Source organism: Homo sapiens, chromosome 3, assembly GCF_000001405.40.
Source record: "Homo sapiens chromosome 3, GRCh38.p14 Primary Assembly".
NCBI lineage: Eukaryota > Metazoa > Chordata > Mammalia > Primates > Hominidae > Homo > Homo sapiens.
The window spans coordinates 172,933,918-172,958,603 of record NC_000003.12 but is presented as its reverse complement, the minus strand read 5'-3'; the positions used below and the strand labels follow the sequence as shown (position 1 = coordinate 172,958,603).

The 24,686-nt window shown below is 37.4% G+C and overlaps 1 protein-coding gene across 3 annotated transcripts in view; it reads left to right on the top strand.

Moving 5' to 3' along the window:
• SPATA16 (spermatogenesis associated 16) overlaps window positions 1-24,686 on the top strand; it is a 251,879-nt gene that overhangs the window by 182,632 nt on the left and 44,561 nt on the right. For all 3 annotated transcript variants that reach the window (NM_031955.6, XM_006713778.4, XM_017007308.3), the window contains exon 6: window positions 1,780-1,927. In NM_031955.6, coding sequence (NP_114161.3) covers window positions 1,780-1,927 — 148 coding nt within the window. The remainder of the gene's footprint in view (window positions 1-1,779; window positions 1,928-24,686) is intronic.

The following is a 24,686-nucleotide window of genomic DNA, read 5'->3' as shown; positions in this document are numbered from 1 at the left end:
TTGTAGCAACCCTAGGAAACTGATACAGGCACCAATAGCTTACAAAGGCAGTAAAGTCAGCCATGACCTTAGAACTGAGGTCTAAAGCAGCTTTCCTCCTTGACACATCACTGCACATAGGCATGTGCAACCACGCGCTTGATGGTCTGGACAGGCCATCCCAGGATCAGTTCCAGCAGTGAACACAGGTAAGCACCAAACTGGAGGAATTATTCCTCCTCCTCAATATAAAATACCTTCATTTTTCCTGAAGGGCTAATACTTGGTGCCTAAACACCTTATTTGAGTTCCTAATCCACAACTCTGAATCCCAGACCTGCTGCCTGCATTATCCCCATTAGCCTTCCAAAGCTGGCATCCAGGTCTCTACGTCCAGCAATTCCTTGTCTGGTCTCTTCCTTTATTTGCCATGCACTCCATCACTAACTCCATCTGAGGGCTGGCTCTGGGTTTGGAAGAACCGCTATGTATTTTCTGTTCCCCATTCAGTTCCTTGAACTTGAACAGGACAATGTTGAAGGCCATGCAAGTTCTAGCATTCAATTATCCAATAGTTTGTTGAATTTCATTCAGAAATTTGTCCACCACTAATTTTTACATAATTTTAAGCTAGTCTCAGAGAAAGGAAGACCCTTTGCATCCAGAAAATAATTGCAAAGCTGCTCTTTTACAAGCAATGTAGATGATCATAGAGGCATTTGAAGTCACTAAGAAATGAAGCAAGCAATGAACAAGTTTATTTAGACTTCCCAGTTTAAAATCCACTCCCTGTTGTTTTTATTATCAATGGAAAACTTGTTTTCAAAATACTGTGAGGGTAATAATGTAAATTGTTGTTTGTTAAATGGTTTTTTCTCTGTTGAAAAGCTTATATCTATTATTTTTCCGTATTGTTTGTTAGTACCTTAGTTGTCTGGGAGAATTTCATTCCTATAAATAAAAATGGATTGTTTTATAATATGCTTTTATGCCATATTAAAAAACTGAGGTAACCATAGACACTTCCACGTTTTATTCAATGTTCAAGCCTCATTAGAAGGAAAAGTTGTAGGAAAGGAGTAAGTTCCTCTTAAAACTTCACATAACTTTCTTTTAGGTCTGTTACAAATAGTAATGGACCTATTTAAAACAGGAAGCTGAGGATGATGGCAGGGCTTTATCAAGAATGGTACATGAGCAAAAATAATGTAAAGAAATTCTTAAATAGCCAAAGCCACCTTAAACAGCTCTTGTGATCTGGAGGGAAGGGAAGCTTTTCTGGGAGGAAATTGAGGAAGGATTTTTTTTTAATTCCAAAAGGCTTTCCCAGGTATTGGAAAAAGAAAACAAAAAATACCGTCTGTCTAGTTTGCCGTGTTATTTACAGAATATACTTTAGATATTTTAGTTTTTAAAAGAAATCTCTCCATATACAAATTGCTCACCAATGTCTGCTCAAGAGTAAGTTAATTATAATGTCAGACTCAAGAATTTGACTTTTAAAATCAAGTAAAACATGACACCTTAGGAAACAGAATTTATATTTTTATCTTAAAACAAGCTCAGTTTAGAGGTGCCTGTTTACAAACTTTCTTCATTTAATTGGTTTTCTTAATATGAAATAGTATTTCCAGAACTAATTAAAATTTTGTTCTAATGAATATTCAAGACCAAAATATGTTATCTTTGCAGTACAGTATATAGATTTTTAAGTCATCCATAAAGGTAATTATATTTTTTACATTCTTAAAAAGTCATATATTGTTATTGATGCCAAATGGGTTGTTTGTTTCCTCTTAGGCCATGATTGAGGAAGCCATCACCAGAGCTGAATCTTTCTCGGTTATGTACACACCATTTGCGACAAAAATAAGAGCTGATAAAATAGAAAAAGTAAAAGATGCTTTCACAAAAACTCATCCTGCATATGCAGAGTATATGTACACAGGTAAGATTCAATATCTTCAAGTTATCAGCTGATATTTTGTTTCAAATAAAACAAATACAGGGTTCTTTCTGGTTTATTAGTTTATTGTTTCTGTTTTAGGAGTACACTGTTTTCATCTGATGACTTGAAACGGAAAGAAATTTTTAAGGTTTTAAATAAGGATAGCCTTATAGTTCTAGCACAATATTTCTTGTACTTTCATATTTCTATATTTTAAGAAGTAGGGATAAAACCTAGAAAATCTAACATTTTAAAAAATGGAAGAATGACCTGTAGTAAAATGCCATCTTTCCCCTTATCCTTTACCAGTAAAGGATAATCAGATGATTATAGTATTTTCCTGCAGATGGATTTTTTTTCCAGTCCCTACTATTTCTACTTATCCCCCCATCTATCTCACATCTCAAACCTTCTTCTTTCCTTATGCTCTTGAATCACTGGTATCCAAATGAGATCTGGATAGCTAAGAGTCCCATAGAGGACACAACAACTGGTATTAGGTTTTTTCCCCTTTTTCATCTTTGGAAATCACTTGTTCTCATTCTCATGCAAAAAATATTTTGTACTACCTACTGTGCATCAAGCATTATTTTGGTTTAAGAGGAGGATTTTTTTGGCATTAAATTAGGAGCTACTCAACAATGACTTCCGTGTTAAGAAAATCTCTAAATGCATACACCTGATATCACATCCTTCTATTCAGGCCCCTTCATCCCTTCTCTCAGAGTTTTGCGGCTGAGTCACTGAATTATAATGTTAATAATGTACTCCATTATTGATCACTATTAAGGTGCCAGACACTCTACATTCATTATCTCTTGATATTCCCATAATCAATGAGGTAAGGTGCTTCCCATTTAGGAACAAGAAAACAATAACCAGAGAAGACACATAGCTTTTCCAAAGATGCACAGCAAATTAGACAGGCCTTGGATTTGAACCCGTGAACATGCCATCAAGCTACACTATTTCCATGTGACAAAACCATTAAATGTAGGTCCTATGGATTTCGTACTTTTCTCCACATTCCCTCACGCTCTTCAAGGGAAAGATATCAAATAAATCCCACTAGTGATAACAGAATAGTAAATCCCTAAGGAACAATGGTAATTTGAGGGCAGAGAAAGGGAAGAGGAGAAGCATAATACGGGCCATAATAACCATATGTGCTGATTTACTTAGTTTGAGCATTTCATAAGAAAGCAGGTTAAAAAAAAAGTCTTCGAACTCATATTTTTTGTTAATTGTTACAAATTATTCATTATTCTTATGGATATTTAAAGGATTTTTTGGAGGGTGTATGCTAGCAGCACATAAAAGTCATATCTATCTAGCATTATGGAAAAATGAGTTCGATTCAGCTATTTCCATTTCCACTCCCAGATCCATTGGTAACGAAGAGAGATTCATTGAGGAGATCACCAGTTTGCCAATCTCTCTTCTGGTAGAATAAGTTTAGTTATATTTAACCCATTTCACAGAGCAGTCATGAAGATTAATTAATAGTTCGGAAGCACCACTGCCAAGAGTTTAAAAACAATAATAACATTAATGAGCCAGACTCATGTCTCATGTAATTCTATCAAACCTGTTATCAAGATGAATTATGATCTGTTGGCAAGACGATTCATGCTAAAGAATCTTACACTTTGGGAGAGAAGATAATTATAAGTTACTAATGATTGTTTCTATTATCTTATAATTACAAACTGCTAGAGTATGCTAGTGCTATAGAGAATCTTGATAGAAAAGACAGCTTCTGGAGGAGGAACGTGAGGTAGAGAAAGGAGTCTAGAATTTAAATTTCGTTGGGACTGATAAAGTTCTTTGCTCTGTGGAAACTGTGCTTTGGGTTAACAATGCTACTGCATTGGTGACATTATTTACCTCTGTTGCAAATTATTAAAGGGTTTCCCCAAAGCCATTGCTGGAATAATGGTGAAAGAACTGTTACTAACTGTATGTGCACAGCCTTGGAGGTATAACTCTTTTTCCCCCAGGCAATTCCAAGGTGGCTGAGGGCATACAGCATGGGAAGAGGAAAGGTCAGGTGTTATTTTTAGCTCTGGACACCTCTCCCAGAAGATGCAGAGAGGTGATTAGAGCTGCATCAGTAGCCGAAGGTAATAGCTAAGAAGTAAGTAACATAAAGACAGATAGGGCCTAGAAGAGTAAACACTTTGTTTTCGTGGTAGTTTCCAAAAACCAGAATCCTCTGATGTCTTTTGGCTGTGTCTCCACCCAAATCTCATCTTGAATTGTAATAACCCCCAAGTGTCAAGGGCATGGCCAGGTGGAGATAATTGAATCATGGGGGTGGTTTCCCCCATACTGTTCTCATGGTAGTAAATAAGTCTCACATGATCTGATGGTTTTATAAGTGGGAGTTCCCCTGCACAAGTTCTCCTGCCTGCTGCCATGTAAGGCGTGATTTTCTTCCTCCTTTGCCTTCCACCATGATTGTGAGGCCTCCCCAGCCATGTGGAACTGTGAGTCAATTAAACCTCTTTCCTTTATAAATTATCCAGTCTTCTGTATGTCTTTATTAGCACCGTGAGAACAAACTAATGCATCTTCCTATTATCAGCCTTGTAGATAGAATTTAAGAAGCTTCTATCCTGATGAAAATTTATTCAGCTATTTATTGTAACATATATTCATGCAACCAGTATGAATAGACTGTCACACAGCAGATGTGTGCAAACATAAGAGTCTATATGTTTTACCTATCTATTTTCTTCTTTGCTCTGCCCAGAGCCAAAATATATTCTGTCTCATCCCAGGGCACTCAGTATAATCCAGTCATTTCTAAAATTAATCTATCTTTAGAACCTATCTAACCACATTCACCAGCTTCCTTCTCCTTTTCAAGAGTTTTTCTTCTCCCTGTGGTTTGGTTTAGCTTTCATAGAGCTCAAGCATACCCTGTGTCCAAAAGGGTCAGTGAACACATAAGGGAGACATCCTCTTCTCAATCTGTAGCAGGCTGGTACAGCTGCTTATCAGACGGCTGGTGCTACCTGAGATCAGCTCTGGCGTCTTGAGCAGGACCTGATGGATTCATTTATGTGGCCCATTAAGTGACCCAAGGCATCTACATGGGTTCTCCATTCTGTTTATTGGTGTAGTTGCTTCTTCGTATGTACTCCAACCACCCTTACCGTACCAGTTGGCCCAAACTAGAGCCACTCTCTGAGATTTCCTCTTCCTGCTGGACTGCTAGCTTGTGAACCCAGCCACTTTCTGAGTCTTACTCAATAAATCCCCTCCATTCCACAGAAGACTAGAAGTTGTCGTAGCCCTCTCTTCAACTGGCTATGTTACTCTGCCATTTTTCCCTTGCTGCATTCTCCAGCAAGCCAGGACCCTTAGGACAAGAAGAGGATCTACAATGGAGATTGAGGTGGGAGGGGGGTTGTTCATCTATTCATTTATTCAGCGAACATTTATTTACACAGTACTCTAGGTGGTACTGAGAATACAACTGCTCCTAAGAAAGGATCCGACTTTAGTAAGCTATACTTCAGCATGAATATTGGACCATATTTTTCCCTTTTCCTAGAGAATATTTTCAACAAAAACCAAAGCTCTAATTGTGGAATGGAAGGCTGACTCTAATTAAAAGAATTATGTAGGATAAACAGAGCAGTTTGGGAATAGAGGTTGTTGTCACTTAATATGGCAAAAACTGGCTAGTTGTTTACCAAACTGTTTTCTTTTTTTTTTTTTTTTTTTTTTGAGATGGAGTCTCACTCTATTGCCAGGCTGTAGTGCAGTGGTGAGATCTCAGCTCACTGCAACCTCCACCTCCCGGGTTCAAGCGATTCTCCTGCCTCAGCCTCCCAAGTAGCTGGGACTATAGGGGCACGCCACCATGCCTAGTTAATTTTTGCATTTTTAGTAGAGACGGGGTTTCACCATGTTGGCCAGGATGGTCTCAATCTCTTGACCTCATGATCCACCCACCTTGGCCTCCCAAAGTGCTGGGATTACAGGCGTGAGCCACTGCACCCGGCCCAAACTCTTTTCTTTTTACCTCAGTCATACATCTAGAATCCATTTCCAGCCTCCCTTCCAATTAGATGAAGATTTCTGACTGAGTAATGGTCAAGGAAAAACGGACAGATGTGATATATGTCACTTCCAGGCCTGGCCCATAAAGCCCTCCTATGTAAAATTCTCTTTCCCCATCCACTGGCTGAGTGGGGAGAAGCATGGAAAGAGGCTGCAAAACAAAAGAAGGTAGATTCCTGAATGTCCATGTAGATGGTCACCCTCCGAATACTCTGAATACCCACATGAACAAAAAACAGTTATCTCTCTTTAGACCACTGAGATTTGGAGCTTCTTTGTTAAATCTGGTAACTTTAACATATTTTTCTGTCCTACATCATAACAAGTAGGCAGCTTCCTACTGCATCTACAGTGTATACAACAAGTTCTTGCTAACTCGATCAAATAAACACTCATCCACATGCAGCCTACTCCATCCTCAAAAACACTCAGCATTTGTACATATATCTATTCCTCTACCTCACACTCCCCCCTCCACAGACAGCTACAGATGATGTTCTCATAAACATGTGTTTGTACCCGCCCACAGAAAGATAATATTTCCAGAGAGACACTGATGCTCCAAGAGATAAAATACAATTATGAAGCTTTCACTGCAGCAAGACAAATGGAAGCTATATGTAAGAATTTCTAAATTATAGAAGTCATCTAAATAAATAATCAACAGATGAAGGTCGTACAATCTGTACCTTGAAGATTTTGGATGAAGAGTCTACCTATCAAAGTTTTGCTGGAGAAGTAATTATTATCATTAAAACTTGGAGACTAGCATATTTAATTCACCCAGTGGAGGCTGGCAAGCAAACCTCCAACTCAGAAACTCTGCCCAACTTTAGGTCACCTTCATCAAGCATAGATAGTGTCGAGTTTATTGCTCCCTGGTCACGTGACAGTGCCATGAGCCCAGCACAAGCTGGCAGAGGTGCTGGTGATGAGCAGGGAGAGTATTCACAATGGAGGTCCTCCAGGCAGTATTTTCTCTCCAGCCAGCCCCCAATTCACAGTCACCCTTGTCAGGGATATCCATGGGAAAAACAGACACAAGGGGGAAAAGTATAAAATTAATTCATTCTGAAATGTATTTAGGTTTAAATTTTTTTTTTTTTAAATTATCAAATAAGCCAATCGCATTATCTATGAACTTTACAGTGGATTATCATGAGAAGACCTATTCACTTCCAGTGGCAGGTATAAGATTATATTACCCTTATAATTTCTATGAGACTGATGAGGGAGAGTTAAAATTCAAATCTGCCTTGTAGATCAACCAGGTTTATACATGCTCAGGAACTTACTGTGCATCCTTTTCTGTTTCAGGAATATAATAAAACCCATCAAAATCTTAAAGTCGTATTATAATAGAGCTGTATTGTATTATATTTCATGGAGAAAAAAATTACTGATTTTTTTTCACAGTATAGCTATCCATTTTTATTATTTAAGAAAAAAACCTAGCTTGATTCATACAGAGTAGTCAGGGTATATAAAACAAATAATAATTTACCAGCCCCAGAATTTTTATGTTTTCATTTATAAAGATTTGGCTTGAGATTTTTATTCATATATTCCAATGAAATAATGCAATTCTGCATAGTTCTTATTCTTGCATGGTTGTATTTTAATAATAATAAAGTAATACAATCCGCATATCCTGTCTCCTCTTGATGAAAATATCAAGATTTATTTGCTAAATAAATAAATATTCAGTAATGGATCTGTGGTTAGTAATGTTTAATAGAAAAGTTTTCTGGATCAGATATCAATTACTTTAACACTTAGGTGGATAGAGTCATATTTTGTCTTTCCAATGCAATTTAAATCCCAAGAGTAAATATGTATGTTCGCATAAATAATATATTGTTTTAAATTAGACCTTTAAAAATTACTTTTCATTGAAATTTATAACCTTGTTCTTGTTCAGTCATCATTTACCAGTAAGAATAATACATTCTTATGTTGTCTAAAACATGAAGTTAACATTTCTCATTTTATTCTTTCTTCTTTAAATTATTGTAATTTTATCATGATCAAGAGTTTTCAAAATCAGACTATTTTCCTCTTTGTAACTAGTTTTCTTGAATAGAAAAAGTTATAGAATTAAACAGTCTTCAGCCCCAATATTTATGAAAGTGTTAAAGCCAGTTTGGTTATAAGACGATAAATCATCTAATATTTGCACCGCAGAATTCTTCTTAGAATCAGAAAATTGTTCCCAAGGTAAAGAAATCCCTCATCTATGGGGCTAAATTCTCTTTTCTTAAAATATTAAAACGTTGATCTTCCCAATGGGAAGTATGGTGCTCTGGCATTGCTCCATCTAATGGAGTTCACCTCCATTTAACCACTTCTCAACCAGCAGTTCACTTGTCCTTTGCAGTAGCAGGTGACAGCGCTGTTTGCCTCTGGTCTCCATCATCCACTGCACCTGAAACCCCTGAAACTACAATGTCTTCTGCTTAGCATATTGTCTTACGGGATCTGACTGAAGAAGGCAGACAAGTTGCATTTAAAGAAACAGCAGTCAATAATCCAAAAATAAGTGGAAGTAATATAAATTTTTCCTGCAGCCTCTCAAGAAAACCCATGAGTTGAGGTAGGGTAGGCAGTTGTAATGGGGTATGTGGTAGAAATTAAACAGGTATTGTAGATATTGTATCCATAATGCTCAGCAAAACCTTGTAAAATGCACATGTACATAAACACAAACATTCACATGGCAGCTTCCCTCAATCTCCTTTCCTACTCAAAATTCTCCAGATACGTCCTCTAAATTTATTCCCTCATGAATTGATGAGTCTCTTCCACTGTCATTCTTGATGGTCTTACCAGTTTCTCAGGTTCTTACCCATCCCCATTATCTCGGTCTACATAAGAAAGCCCCAAGGCCATTTCCAAACAAGCAGAACTCATTTTAGCAGGCGACGGAGTTCTCAATATGAGTGAGGTAAGTGCTCAACCGTTAACACTTTATTTTTCCTGAATCACTTTACTTATGTTTTATAATGTAGCCTCTCTGTCAACAATATAGTTAATCATTAGGTGCTGCCATCTAATAAATCATGCAGCCAAGCATTAAAATCCCTGAAGACTGAACTCTCAGTAGTATATAACAATTTTAAATTGAGAATTTAAAAAAATTTTGAAGTCAATGTTGCACAGAATTACAAATTTTTTTACTTTGTAGAGTTACGTTTTTTCTTTGTATATTCAGCATTCAAATCCTATTTATTTCTCCTCTAATACTTGGCTCGCAATTAACCTACACCTTACGAGCATTAGCATTTTCTTGATGATCTTATGGTCTACAAATAATCACTGCATTTTACAACTAAAGTAGAGCCCCATCCAGCCCATTTATTTATTTATTTATTGCTTTTAGTAGTTTTATTTTTAAAAACATTCTATGGTATCACACACATAAAAAAATCCATTTTAAAATACAGCTTAACTAATTTATTATGGAGTAAACATCAAGTCAAAAAAGAAAACATGACCAGCTCTCCAGATACCCTTTACTGGCCCTTTATTAATCCCAAACAACTCCCTACCCCCTACCAAGGTAACTAATGTCCTAAAGTTCAGAGTAATTATCTTCTTACTTTACAGCATTACCACCTATCTATTCCTAAACTCTAGACTTCAATTTGCCTGCTTTGAAATGTTATAAACCTGAAATCATAGAGTAGATGCTCTTTTGTATCTGACTTCTTTTGCTCAATAATTTGTTTATGAACTTCTTCCACGTTGCAAAAAGCATTAGTTTATTCATTTTCATTGCTGTATAATATTCTGTCCTATGAATAGACAGGTCTGGTATTGATGAAATCCCTCAGTTTGGCTAGGCGTGGTGGCTCACCCTTGCAATCCCAACACTTTGGAAGCCGAGGTGGGAGAATCACTTGAACCCAGGAGTTCAAGACCAGCCTAGACAACATAGCGAGACCCCCATCACTACAAAAAAATTAAAAATTAGCTGGACATGATGGTACACATCTGTAGTCCCAGCTACTCGGGTGGCTGAGTGGGAGGGTCACTTGAGCCTAGGAGGTCAAGGCTGCAGTGAGCCATGATCACAGCACTGAACTCCAGCCTGGGTGACAGAGCAAGACCCTGTCTCAAAAAATAATAAGAAAATTAAAAGAAAAAAAGAGAAAAAGTAATCCCTCAGCTTTTGTTTGTCTGAGAAAGTCTTAATTTCTCCTTCGTGCTTGAAAGATATTTTTACCAGATACACTATTCTAGGGTAAAATACTTTTTCCTTCAGCACTTTAAATATGTCATGCTACTCCGGCCTGGCCTATAAGGTTTCCACAGAGAAGTCGGCTGCCAGACGTATCGGAGGTCTTTTGCATGTTGTTTCTTTTCTCTTGCTGCTTTTAGAATCGTTTATTTATCCATGGCCTTTGGGAATTTGATTATTAAATGCCTTGAGGTAGTCTTCTTGGGGTTAAATCTGCTTGGTGTTCTATAACCTTGTACTTGAATAGTGATATTTTTCTCTAGGTTTGGAAAGTTCTGTTATCATTTTGAAGGACTTCTACCCCAATCTCTCTCTCTCTCCCTACTTCCTCTTTAAAGCCAATAACTCTTATATTTGTACTTTTGAGATTGTTTTCTAGATCTTGAAGGCATGCTTCATTCTTTTTTTCTTTTTTTAATTTTACTTTAAGTTCTGGGATACATGTGCAGAATGTACAGGTTTGTTACATACGTATACATGTGCCATGGTGGTTTGCTGCACCTATCAACCCATCATCTAGGTTTTAAACCCCACATATATTAGGTATTTGTCCTAATGCTCTCCTTCCCCTTGCCCCTCACTCCCCGACAGGCCCCGGTGAGTGATGTTCCCCTCCCTGTGTCCATGTGTTCTCATTGTTCAACTCCCACTTATATGTGAGAACGTGCGGTGTTTGGTTTTCTGTTCCTGTGTTAGTTTGCTGAGAATGATGGTTTCCAGCTTCATCCATGTCCCTGCAAAGACAAGAACTCATCCTTTTTATGGCTGCATAGTATTCCACTTCTAATCAGCACCTCTACCCCTACACCACCGTGTTGCTATTGTAAACAATATTCAGATATTCTGTGAATGCAAGCGAAACGTAAGCTAACATGGAGAGGTGTTTCTGGAAAGGTATGAACAAATCCAGTCAAACCCACATGTACTCAGAGCATACATTACGTAAAGGAAATCCAAGGTGGGTTCCCTGGTGCCTTATGTAGATTGTTTGGTGAGGTCATGTTTCCCTGGATGTTCTCGATGTTTGTAGATGTTTATCAATGTCTGGGCATAAAGAGTTTATTTGAAGAGTTATTAAAGAAGTGTTTATTGTTGTCTTTGCAGTCTAGGCTTGTTTGTACCTATCCTTTCTGGGAAAGTTTTCCAAGTATTTAAAGAGAATTGAGTGTTGTGATCTAAATCTTTGATCCCTGCAGCCATCTCTGCATTAGGGGGCACCTAAAGTCCTGTAACACTGTGACTCTGGCAGACTCATTAGAGGTACCACCTTGGTGGTCTTGGGTAAAATCCAGGAGCATTCCCTGGACTACCAGGTAGAGACTCTAATTCTCTCTCTTTCCTTTCCCCTAACAAGTGGAGTCTCTCTCTCTGCGCTGAGCTGCCTGAAGCTTCAGGAGAGGTGATACAAGCACTCCTATGGCCATGACAACTGGGACTATGCTGGATAAGATGCAAAGACTGCAAAGCACTGGGTCCCTCCCAAGACCCACCCAGTCACTACCTGGCTACCACCTATATTCACTCAAGGCCCAAGGGCTGTTCAGTCCGCAGGTGGTGAATCCAGCCAGGCTTGCGTCCTTCCCTTCAGGGTGGTGAGTTCCCTGCTGGCCCAACTCTAGTCCAGAAATGCTGTCCATGAGCCAGGGCCTGGAGAGGGGAACCTTTGGAATCTACTTGGTACTATGTTCTACGTGGCTGAGCTGGCACCCAAGCCACAAGACAAAGTCCTTTCCATTTTTCTGTCTCATTTGCTCATACAGAAGGAGTCTCCCCCTGGGGCCACTGCTACCCAGGCTCATGGCTAGTACTGTCTGGCTACTGTCAGTGTTCACTCAAGGCCCAAGAGCTCTTCAGCCAGCTTGTGGTGAATGTTCCCAGGGCTGGGTCTCTCCTTTCAGGGCAGGAGGCTTCCCTTTGGCCCAGGGCGGATCCAGAAATACTGTCTAGTAGCCAAGGCCTGAAACTGGGGACCACAGGAGCCTGCTTGACTAAGCTCTTGCCCAAGCTGCAAAACAGAGTTCCCTTTACTCTTTTCTCTCCTTTCCTAAAGGAGAAGGAATCTCTTCCCATGGCTACCACAGCTAGGAATGTGGCCACATCTGAATCCAGTATAGGCCTGGATTTCACCCAAGGTGCCCGGTGAGTACTCCCTGGGTACTTCTGATGTTTATTCAAGGCCAAAGTGCTCTTTAATCAGCAAGTGATGAACCCTGCTAGGACTGGGCTCTTCCCTTCAAGGCAGCAGGTTCCCTTCCAGCTCAGGTTGTGTCTGGTAATGTTGTCTGAGAGAATAGTGCCCTATCCTGTGGCTGGGCTGGTATCCAAGTTGCAAGACAAAGTCTTCTTTACTCACCCCTCTCCCTTTCTGAAGCAGAAGGAAGGAGTCTCTCCCAGAGCTGTGAGCTGTACTACCTGTGGTTGGGGGAGAGGTGACACAAGAACTCCCATAGCCACCCCAGCTGGTGTCTCCCTAGTGTCATGTACCCCAAGTCCACTGACTCCAAATCCAGCATAGCGCCAGAACTTACCCAATAATTGAGGTCCTTGTAGCCTAGACTACCTTTCAAGTTTATTTAGAACCCCAGAGCTTCTTTAGCCCATGGTGGTGGGGCTAGCCAGAATTCAGGTTCTGACCGCTGGGATGGAGAATTCTTCCCTGGCTAGGGCTGATCTAAATGCTCCCTCCATGGGTGCTGACTGGGTTCTGCCCCCATGTTGCTTTCCATTGTGACAAGGCAGCACTGAGTTCCAATACAAAGTCCCACAATTACTGTATTCTCCCTCCACCACGCACACAGTCTCTCTCTACTGCCAGGGAATGGGGAAGGGGTGACATCAGCAATTCAAGACTATCTTCCCTTCCCTCTTTTGTGCTTCTTTCCTTTATGTGATGTTAAAATCAAGGACTATAATGGTCCATCTAATTTTTTGTTCTTATGAAGGTATTTCTTGTATGGATAGTTGTTCAGTTTGGTGTTCCCATGAGGGAGACAATCACTGGAGAGTTCTATTTGGACATCTTGCTCTGCCTCCTCCTTATTAGCTCTTTGATGTTCTTAGAAAAATCTACTTTTTAGATTTCTTCAAGGAATATTAGTTGTCTTCAGAAAGAAGGTTGGTCCAAATTGTTCTGAGATTACAAGAATCAGAAGCTTTTATTTTTTTAGTTATGTAATATTTGAAATATGCTAAAAGACACAAAAATAATGAACACCTACATAATTACCATCTTATTTGAGAAATAAAACATTAAAAGTATTGTATAGTTGAAGTTCCCAAGATTTTTCGGATCCTAATCTACTCCCTCCCCTCCAGAGGTAATCACTATCATAAATTTGTTTATTATTCCTTTTTTATTATAGTAAAATATACACAATGTAAAATGTACCATTTTAAACACTTTTAAGTGTACAGATCAGCAGCATTAACTACATTCGCATTATTGTGCAACCATTACCACCATCCATCTACAAAACCTTTTCATTTTCCCAAACTGAAACTCTACCCATTAAATAATAACTCTCCATTTTCTTCTCCCCCCAGATCCCCTAGCAAACACTATTCTATTTTCTGTCTCTGTGAATTTGACAGCTCCAAGTGGAATCATATAGTATTTGTCCATTTGTGTCTGGCTTATTTCACTTAGCATAATGTCTTCAAAGTTCATCCATATTGTAGCCAATGTCAGATTTTCCTTCCTTTCTAAGGTTAAATAATATTCCATTGTATGTGTATATCACATTTTGTTTATCTATTTTTCCACTGAGAAAAACTCGGTGCTTCCACCTTTTGGCTACTGTGAATCATGCTGCTATGAACATGGGTATACAAGTATTTCCCTGCTTTCAATTATTCTTGGCATATAAATTGCTGGATCATATGGTAAATCTATTTTTAATTTTTTGAGTAGGTGTCATGTCATTTCTTGTAGTGGCCACACCATTTCACATTCTCACCAGAAGTGCACGAGTGTTCCAATTTCCCCATGTCCTCATCAACACTTGCTATTTTCTGGTTTTTGCTAATAGCATCCTAACAGATATGAAGTGGTATCTCACTGTGGCTTTGATTTGCATTTCCTTAATGATTAGTGATGTTGAGCATCTTTCATGTGCTTATTGGCCATTTTTATGTCTTCTTCGAAGAAATGTCTGTTTAAGTCCTTTCCCAATTTTTTAATTGAGTTGTTTTTTGTTGCTGTTTTCGAATTGTAGGGGTTCTTTATGTATTCTAGATACAAATTCTTTGTCAGATGTATGATTTGCAAATATTTCCTCCCATTCTATAGGTTGCCTTTTCACTGCATTTCCATGACTGTTAATTGGGTTGAACATCTTTGTTGTCATTATTTGTCCTGTGGTTCCATTTCCTTAAAGGATAAATAGAAGAATTCTTAAAAATTTTCAAATTTATGAAAATGGTATTTTTACTATTTCTATATTCTTACAATTTGCATGTTTGTGCTCTTTGTTCATTTGGGTTTTTTGAATAGTTTTATTATTGATTTATTGAAGTTTTTATATTTTATCTCATCAAGGAGCTTGACTTTTCTGCGGTGACTTTTGATGAAGTGAGATTTAAATTTTAATGTTATTTGATAATTTTCTTTCTGTTTTTGTTTTTAAGATGGAGTCTTGCTCTGTCACCCAGGCTGGAGTGCAATGGCGCAATCTTGGCTCACTGCAACCTCTGCCTCCCAGGTTCAAGCAATTCTCGTACCTCAGCCTCTCGAGTAGCTGGGATTACAGGCATGCGCCACCATGCCCAGCTACATTTTGTATTTTTAGTAGGGATGGGGTTTCACCATGTTGGCCAGGCTGGTCTCAAACTCCTGACCTCAAGTGATTTGCCCACCACAGCCTAACAGCTTGTGGTTTGGTATCATATTTAAGAAATCCATCCCTGTTCCAGTACATAGATATTCATTCTTTCTTTTTGGTTTGTTCATTCTACTACTGTTATGGCTGGGATTGCAACACAAGGTTGAATAAAGGAGTGATAGCAGGCATTTACATGTTGTTCCATTTAAAAAGACTTAAATTTCCACCACTAAGTATAAAGTTTGCTGTAGATCTTTGATAAGTATTCTTTATCAGGTTTAAAAGTTGTCGTTTATTCATATTATGCCAGATGTTTTGACATTGTCGAACCTTTCTATTGCATCCTTTTTCTTACGTTTAACTCCTTTCTGCTCTTATATTTATTATTTCTTTTATGTCCTGTTTTGGAAACTTATAACAGATTGCTTAATTTTCTTCACTGAATTCTAGGGTCAATAATTTTCAACATCTTCCCTTGTTTTTAGTAAAGACTATAAATTTCTCTCCAAGAATGATTTTTGTTGTGCCCTAAAAATTTTGAAAAACACTTTCATTGTATTTCATCTCAAAATATTTTCTAACTTTCATTATGAAATCTTCTTTGAGCCATGACTTACTTAAATACACAGTTTTTAATGTCTGAATGTATAGAAACGTTTAGCTACCTTTGTTATTGATTTTTAACCTAATTGCATCATGTTCAAAAACATAATCTAAATTTTAATAATTCCTGAAATTGTTAAGGTTGGTTTACGCCCTAATATATGGTCAACTGTCATTAATATACCATTTGTGCTCAAGAAGAATGTCATTTTTTAATTTTGGAATGCAGGGTTTTTTAATGTATTCATTACCTGGATCAAGCTTGAAAATTACTTATATCTTTTAGATGCTACAATTTTTTGTCTACTCGACATCAGTAAATAGGAAACAAAAGATGTTAAAGTAATCCAAAATAGTGGTAGGTTTGTCAATTATTCTTATAATTTGTCAGTTTTCACTTTTTGTTTCAGCATCAATGTGCCTGTTTTAAGATTATTAATTGTATGTTATTGTTATGTAATTACACTCTTCACCTTAATGTTAACGTTTTTTGTATTAAAATCTATTTTGTCTGATATTAATAAATTCACTAGTTTTATTCTGATTAGTATTTTTCTAGTATTTCTTTTTCACATCCTTTTACTTTCAACATTTTATGCCCTCGTGTTAAAATATTCTCTTAAAAATGACATACAGCTGACTTATTTATCTATTTAATTACTTATTTATGTAGTCAATCTCTGTCTGAATAAGTAAGCTTATTTTAATTCCTGAGTTGATTGATTGAGTTTTTCTGCCAGAGTATAAGTCCCTGAGACATGGAAATCTCTGTCTGTTCACCATAGGCTTAAATAGTGCCTGACAAATAGTAAGTGCTAAATAGATCTTTGTCGATTTCTGTGTTATGTTTGGTTATTTCTGCCATATTATAGGCTTTAGTCCACATGCTTTTCCCCCCTCCTAACCTGCCTTCTCTCATATTCTTCAAGATTTCTTTTATTCATTTTTTCTTTATTTACAATAACATTAAATGTTATTGTAAACATAGACATCTTAACAAAATCGTAGTTTCATGATTATCAACTGAGCAAGATAAAGGTCATAGAATACTTTAACGAAAATCACCCCCTAATATTATACATAATATATTTTTATTCTAACCTGATATTTTCCCTGACACCATCCTTAAATTAATTATTATGGTCATAAATGTGTTTACATAATCAACATTTATCTATAATTATTATATACACATGTCTACCAATTTTTTCTCGCATTTCAGTTCTTCTGAATTTTATTTCCTTCTTTCTAAAGTGCATCCTTTGGAAGTTCCCAAAGTGAGAGTCTGTTGGAAGTATACTCCCTTCATTTCTGATTGTCTAAAATGTCTCTAATTCACCCTAGTTCTTAGATAACAGTTCAACAGGTTATAAATTTCTAATCTAAAATATTGGTGCCTTGAAGATATTATTTCACTGTCTTCTGACTTGTGTCATTGCTGTTGGGAAGTCAGATCTCATTCCTTTGTAGATAATCTTCTTTTATCTCTGATGCTTTTAAGATCATGTCTTCATTTGAAGTTCTACAGTTTAACTACAGATGTGTCCAGGAATAATTTTTTTTTCTTAACCTGCTTGGTCACTGTGTTCACAATCTAAGGGGTCAAGTCTTTCATAAATTCTGAAAAACTGCAATCCGTTTCCTTTTTAATACTTTAGTCCCTGATTCTTTCTATTCTCTCATTCAAGAATTTTAACTGGACATTTGTTACTTTTATTTATTCTACCCTCCAGATCATTGAGGCTGCTTATTAAATTGTCCATGTTCTCCATGTCTTTGTCTGCTTCATTTTGAAATTTTCTCAGATCTGCATTCTCATCCTTCCTTTAGCTCTGTCTAGATCACTCCTTAATAGATTCAAGATTTTCATTCCAGTAATTGTTTTTCCACTCCTAGAAGTTCTCTTGAGATCTTTTTTTTATGTAATTTGCTTATTTTATTTTTATTTTTATCTTTTGAGATGGAGTCTCTCTCTGTCACCCAGGCTGGAGTGCTGTGGCATGATCTCGGCTCACTGCAACCTCCGCCTCCCGGGTTCAAGCAATTCTCCTGCCTCAGCCTCCCGAGTAGCTGTGATTACAGGCACGTGCCACCACGCCCAGCTAATTTTTTGTATGCTAGTAGAGACAAGGTTTCTCCATGTTGCCCAGGCTGGTCTGTCCTGAGCTCAGACAATCCGCCTGCCTCAGCCTCCCAAAGTGCTAAGATTACAGGCATAAGCCACTGCACCCAGCCCTTTTGTTAAATTTAACATTTATTTTAAGTTCAGAGGTACATGTTCAAGTTATATAGGTAAACTTGTCTTATGGGGCCCCAGTGTGTGTTTTTCCCTTCTATGTGTCCATGTGTTTAAAATCTTTTTCAAGGCAACTTTTAAAAACCTAGTTTTATTCTTGTGATTTTTATTATATTTAGTACTTTACACACGTTTTATATTTTGTATCTAATAGTGCTATTTCTCAAGATTTCGGAAAGCTAATTCTGCTATTTGTTGTTTTGCCATCTCTGGGATATTTTCTCAAAAACCAATCAATTCTCCCATTCTCCAAAACCAACTGGATGTCCAAAGATTCAATTCAATTCTGATAACTATCCACATAGAGTTAGTGTCAGGTTCCACAAGTTGAAGGCTTCAGTATGACAAAACTGTGCCCATTTTAGATACCAGTTGCAATACTTCTGATCAACCAGCTACAAATCAGGAATTTTCACAACCCCCTCGTCATGTTCAGTAATTTGTTCGCTGAGCTCAGGAAAATGCTTGCTTGTACTGGTGTATTATAAGGGATATCACTCAGGAACAGCCAAATGGAAGAGATGCACAGAGCAAGATAGTAGGGGTGAGAGATGTGGAGCCTCCAGGCCCTCTTTGGTATGCCATTCTCCCTGCACCATGATGTGTTCACCAACCTGGTAGGTCTCCAAACCCCAACTTTTATGGGTTTTTATGGATTTTTCATTATATAGGCATCCTTGTTTAAATTATTGGTCATTGGTGATTAACTCAGTCTCCAGCATCTCTCCTCTCTCCAGAGGTGGGGGAGGCATGAAGCTGAACATTCCAAGCCTCTAATCACATAGTTGGTTTCTTTGGCAAATTGCCCTCATCCTGAAGCTATCTAAGGGCCCAGCAAGAGTCACCTCATTAGCATATACTCAGATAGGGTTGAAAGGGGCTTGTTATGAATAGCAACAGATGCTCCTATCACTCAGGAAATTTCAGTCATTTTAGAAGCTGTGTCAGGAACTGGGGACAAAGACCAAATATTATTTTAAAAGGACATTACTCTTAGCCCTTGCATTTCTATATTCTTTCAGTGTAATCGTAGTCTGTGTTAGGGCTTCACCAACAAATTTTGCTACCATAGTGCATGATGCTTCCGTGTCAAAAAATTCCATAACCTTTTCTTCACCACATTTTACCTATTCATTTGCATAAGATTTTGGGTTTGCAGCCAGGGGTCAAGCTAAGAGACTCTGGCCCTTTTGTCAATAATTATTTTGATTAGTCTGCCTGTCTATTGCCCCAAATGACTACAGACCAGGTTTCTCATTGTAATATTTGCCTTCCAGCTTTTTAAAATCCCCACACTTTTATGAACCAAACTGGGGTTCACTTGCTTGGTACATTATGACCAGATATTTACATCAAGGTTTATAGTAGGAGAAAGAAAGGCTTTATTTGCAGGGCACCAAGCAAGAAGGATCAGGCAGCTAACGCGTAAGTTCCAAACTCCCCGACGTATTGCAGGCAACAGTTTTTAAAGGCAAGGGTAAATTTTAGGAAGGCAGAAGTTATAAGCAAAATCATAATGCATGGAGAGTATACATTGGTTTTGGCCTAAAAGGGCAGGATATCTTGAAGCGGGGGCTCCCGGGTCATAAGTAGATTTAAAGACTTTTTAATTTCTAATTGGTTAACAAATAGAAGCTTTCTTTTAAAATTTGAGGTCAGCAGAAAAGAATGTTAGCTCTGGCATGTGGGTGTGACTTCCTCCAGACCCCTCAGGAAGACATTTAGAACCAAGAATCATGGTTAGAGTTCAGTCCTCAGTTCTCCTTTATCTGAGGTTTATATGCCAGGGGATCCATTTGTTGCGGGGGGGTGGGGGGGTCTGGATCTCTGAAAAACAACTCAGAGACGTATATTAAGATGTTATTTTTAGGTTTTATAGGAGAACCAAACTTTCTGTGATTCTAACTTTTTTGGCTATTGTTTTAAGCTATTACTATATTTTTGCTTATCAAGTTATTTATTTACTTTACTTTTCAGGGCTACCTAGGTGCCTGAAACTTTTTTTGAAGAAACTCAAGATATTTTTCTCATTTTCACACTTAAGGAGGCCCGCAGACTCCAAAGAGGGGGTCTCTGCTCTGTCTTAACATTGGGGTAAATAGAACTTGTTAGAGGCGCTTTATTATTGAGGGACTGGCAGAGGATCCCTTTGGTCCACCCAACCTTGTATAGTGCTGTATTAAGACTTTTGTTTCATCCTCGTCAATGTCCATCTATTTATCCCATTTCTTAATAACCATCTAAAGCTTTCCACCTGCAGAGGTGAGTCCTTTGACTCTCTCCTTCTTCCCTATTGTTTGCTCCTATCAATGTTTGCTGTATTCACCCCATTTCTTAATAACCACTTAACAATTTCCAAATCACGGGGACAAGTCCTTCGCCTCTCCCTTTTACCTCTCCTCATTCTCTTGTTAAATAATCTAATGTTTTTATAGCATCTGTAAGACCCATGAAGGGAAGCTGAGAAAGCAAATTTCATAAGAACTGTTGCTCCATTTTGCAACAGTTAAGTTACATGGGGCACCAATTTACCATAACCTGGGTAATGGGCATATTTAGTGGATAAATATCCTGCTTATTATGAAGCCAATCTTACGTGGCTTGCATATGAAACATATCAGCTGCTTCATCTGAGATTTCCCACTTGTCATTTATAGGGGGATCTGTTTACCCCCCTTCTCAGGATAAACAGATCTTATAGTCACTTTTATTTAGTTCACCAGGCTGGCTGTTCTTTCAGGAATAACTTGCTGTCTGTCTGGATGATGTATACCCGTCTGCAATGGTTCCATAGTGAGCAGTGGATCCTATATCCACCCAAACATGCCTTCCTACTCTACAAAATTGAAAAACAGTTACTTTTTTTTAAGTTAGTCATTCTTACAATGCATTTTAGTAAAGGAAGCTGATGACACTGATCTACAAAATAAAATATACCCCCTGGGTATATATATTTACACTCTACCCCCTAGTTTTAGTAGTTTCTCGGTTTTGCCCACCCCTCAATGTGGACCACCTTCTTAGTAATCAGAGATCTTAAAGGTACTCTCAGTTGTTCCTGCATAATTTCCTCCCTTGAGAGACTTTGGGTGCTAGTGACTGAAGTTCAGCTCAACTGAAATCTGTGCTTGGTTCAGCATTGAAGTTTAACCTGGAAGTCATTTTTAATTTCATTTTAGCTCTTACAGATAATAATAGCCAAGGGATTGTATATTTTATTTTTTTCTATTAGTTTGTATTACCCTATGTATTCAGCAAACCAAAAGGCTGGGAATCAGATTCACCGCTAAATTCCATTGGTAACTTTTACATTTAATAACTAACTGAAGCACAGCTGCTGCTCCATACCATGAATAACCAATCAAAGGTTCCTCCTCCCTCACCATTTCATCCTTTCTCTCCCCAAACCACATGCTTCTGTGAGTCAGGGCCATTCTAGCAAATCCCACCTCTGATACCAGTTCTGAAGTGATTTTTTTTTCTCACAATATTCTGATGTCAAATGTGTAGGGTTTTCCACATCACTATTTCTCTAGCTTTCTGACACTAACTAGGTGTTCGATATTGCAATTCAATTCTGACACTAACTACCTGGAAACCCTGTAGGTTAAAGGCTCAGTCCCATAGCACTGCCCTCCACTTTAGATACCAGTTATAATAATCCCAGCACTTTGGGAGGCTGAAGCAGGTGGATCACTTGAGGTCAGGAGTTTGAGTCCAGCCTGGCCAGTATGGTGAAACCCTATCTCTACTAAAAATACAAAAAAAATTAGCTGGCCATAGTGGCCCATGCCTGTAGTCCCAGCTACCTGGGAGGCTGAGGCAGGAGAATGGCTTGAACCCAGAAGGCAGAGGTTGCAGTAAGCCGAGATCACGCCATTGCATGCCAGTCTGGTCGACAGAGCAAGGCTCTGTCTCAAAAAAAATAAATAAATAAAAAATAAGTAAATAAATAAATAAAGTCCCAGGCCTCCTATACTTCTGACCAAGCAACTATAAATCAAGAGTTCCCATAATCCCCTTCTCAGATTTGATAATTTGCTAGACCAACTCACAAAACTCGGGACTTACCATTTAGCAACATAATAGCAACAAAATACCATAAGAGCAACAAAAACAGTGAATGCAGTAACAGCAAGTAAAGGATACAACTTAGAAACAGCCAAATGAAAGAGAAGCATGTATAGAGAAATGCATGACAGAAGAGGGAGGGTACACAGAGCTTTCATATCTTTTCTGAGAATATCACCCTCCTATAACTTCAATGTGTTCACCAACCCAGAAGTTCTCCAAGCCCTGCTGTTGAGAAGCTTTTATTGAGATTTCATTATGTAGGCATGATTGATTAAATAATTGACTATTAGTGATTAACTCAGTCTTTACTCCCTATTTCCTCCCTGGAGGTTGGTTGGTTTTTCTAGTGACCAGCCCCATCCTGAAGCTATTATAGGCCTTCCAAATGTTGCCTCATTAGAACAAAAGACACTCCTATCATCCTTATCAAATTCAGGTAATTCTAAAGGTCTTAGGAGCTTTGTGCCAGAAACTAGGAAGAAAGACCAAATATCTTTCTATGATACCACACCACCTCTCACTCATTGAAAATTGTATCTTTGTGTGTTTTTCCACTCTTATGTGTAAGATGTAAGCCATTATTCAGTGGGGCTTGATCTGTGAGAATCCTGTGCAGTCTAGGGTTATTTTGCATCCTTCCCCAGAGGATTTTCTTTTTCTTTTTCCATACCATAGAATGTTACCAATCAGAGCAGTTTATTCCTAGACATGAGAGTTCCTAAACTACCCAGGTAGCATAAACTCAAACCTTAACCCACATGCCTATAGTGAAAATTCCCAGAGGAAAAAAAAATTCTAGTCTAGGCCCCAAACAAGTCAAACAAGTTTATTCTCCCTTTGTCAATCATTCAAATTTTTATCTCTATCATTTTACTGATACCCCGATTTCACCTTAATTTAATAATGTACCATGCTGTATTATAATTGACTGTGTACTTATGTACTACAGGCACCAAATAGTAAACAACACCATGCCCTCTATTATCTTACCTTTTCCTTCTAACGTCTGACTTATATTTGTAAATTCTTGCAAGAAGAGCCTAAAAATATTTGTCAAGTAAATTAGGTAATCAAATTATTTATCAAAATTATATATCTTACTAAGCTTATTTCTAATATTTTATGTTTTTTCTATTATGGATCAAACCATTGTTTACAATATACTGCATATTTTATCATATCTACATATTTTGGGTTTTTTAATCTTACATGGTTTGTTGTTTGTGTGTTTGTTTGAGATGGGGTCTCAAACAATGGCTATTTTTGAGTGGCTATTCGCAGGTGTGCTCACAGCACATTACATCATTGAACTCCTGGCCTCAAGCAATCCTCACACCTCAACCTTCTAAGTAGGTAGGACTATTGACACGTACCACCATGTCAAGCTTTAAATCTTACACGTTTGTATTGAGTTTTATATATTTTCTTTTTTGATACCTTAGTGAACTCTTGTCTATACTAACTGATTTTCAGTTTATCCTCTTGGATTTTCTACAACCATCTATTATTAAGTAATAATACGGTGGTCTCTTTACTTCCAATGTTTATATCTCTCATTTTTATTTCAGGTCTTATTACTTTGTCCTAAAGTTCCAAAGCCGTAGATAATAATAATAGTGGTCAAAAACAGTTATTTTGTTTCTGAGGTTAACAGGAATAAAACAGATTAAAAGTTGTTTCATCACAACCAAACTAACTACTAATAGTAAAGAGTGGATAGCAATATCTAATATCTATATATCAAGGTGTCTCTTCTTTTAGATTTCCATATATAAAGAAGCATCTCATCTCAAATTCTAAGTCAAAGCCTTGCTGACTTTCAAAATTGGTATATATGTTAACTACAGGAAATTTCTGATAAGATTATTTGCTTATGAATCATGATAATTCATGAGTAATAATAATTTTGTACATAATTCTTTGTTTTTAAATTATCATTAATAATTCAGCTTATTACATGAAAAGTTATAGTACTTATAAACCAATTTCAACAAAAAGCAAGAAAGAAAGTCTCTGTTCCAGGAAAGGAAATCACTGTGCTTTTCTGTGATGATAGAAGTTTTTTAATTAAGAACATTGTGAATGACATATTCGATCCTCTTTACTTTTAGCAAATATACAGGACCTTATAAAATACATTTTGTATATTAATCTTACTTATGGCTTCATCATCTATCTCTTAATTTTTCTTTTGATCTATTTTCTTCAAACACACTACTTTACACTTTTTCTTATCTCATATGAATTTATGTAGGGCAAGTCATTACACTTCCAGAACAAAGGGAAATATAAACAAATAAACAAGTGAATAGGTTACCAGTCTGAACAGAAAGGAAAATTAAGGCTTTGAGATCACATGACTTTTATTGTGTGATGTTTAAATTAACTACCCACAAGTCATTTTCTGTGAGATGTAGAATTTAATCCAAAGTGGGAAAATAATAATTATAATTTAGGTCAAGAAAGATTATGTTAAACATTTATTATTTTTATTATACTTATAAATGTAAGTCTTGTTACCAGTGATAATATTGTAATAATGTTGTAATAATGGCATCACCAGGATGTATTCAATATTGCTACCTTTGTGCTAGCTGTAAAAAGTAATAATTCCAAATCCCCCAACTGTTATTTTTCTTAAATAAGAAAAAC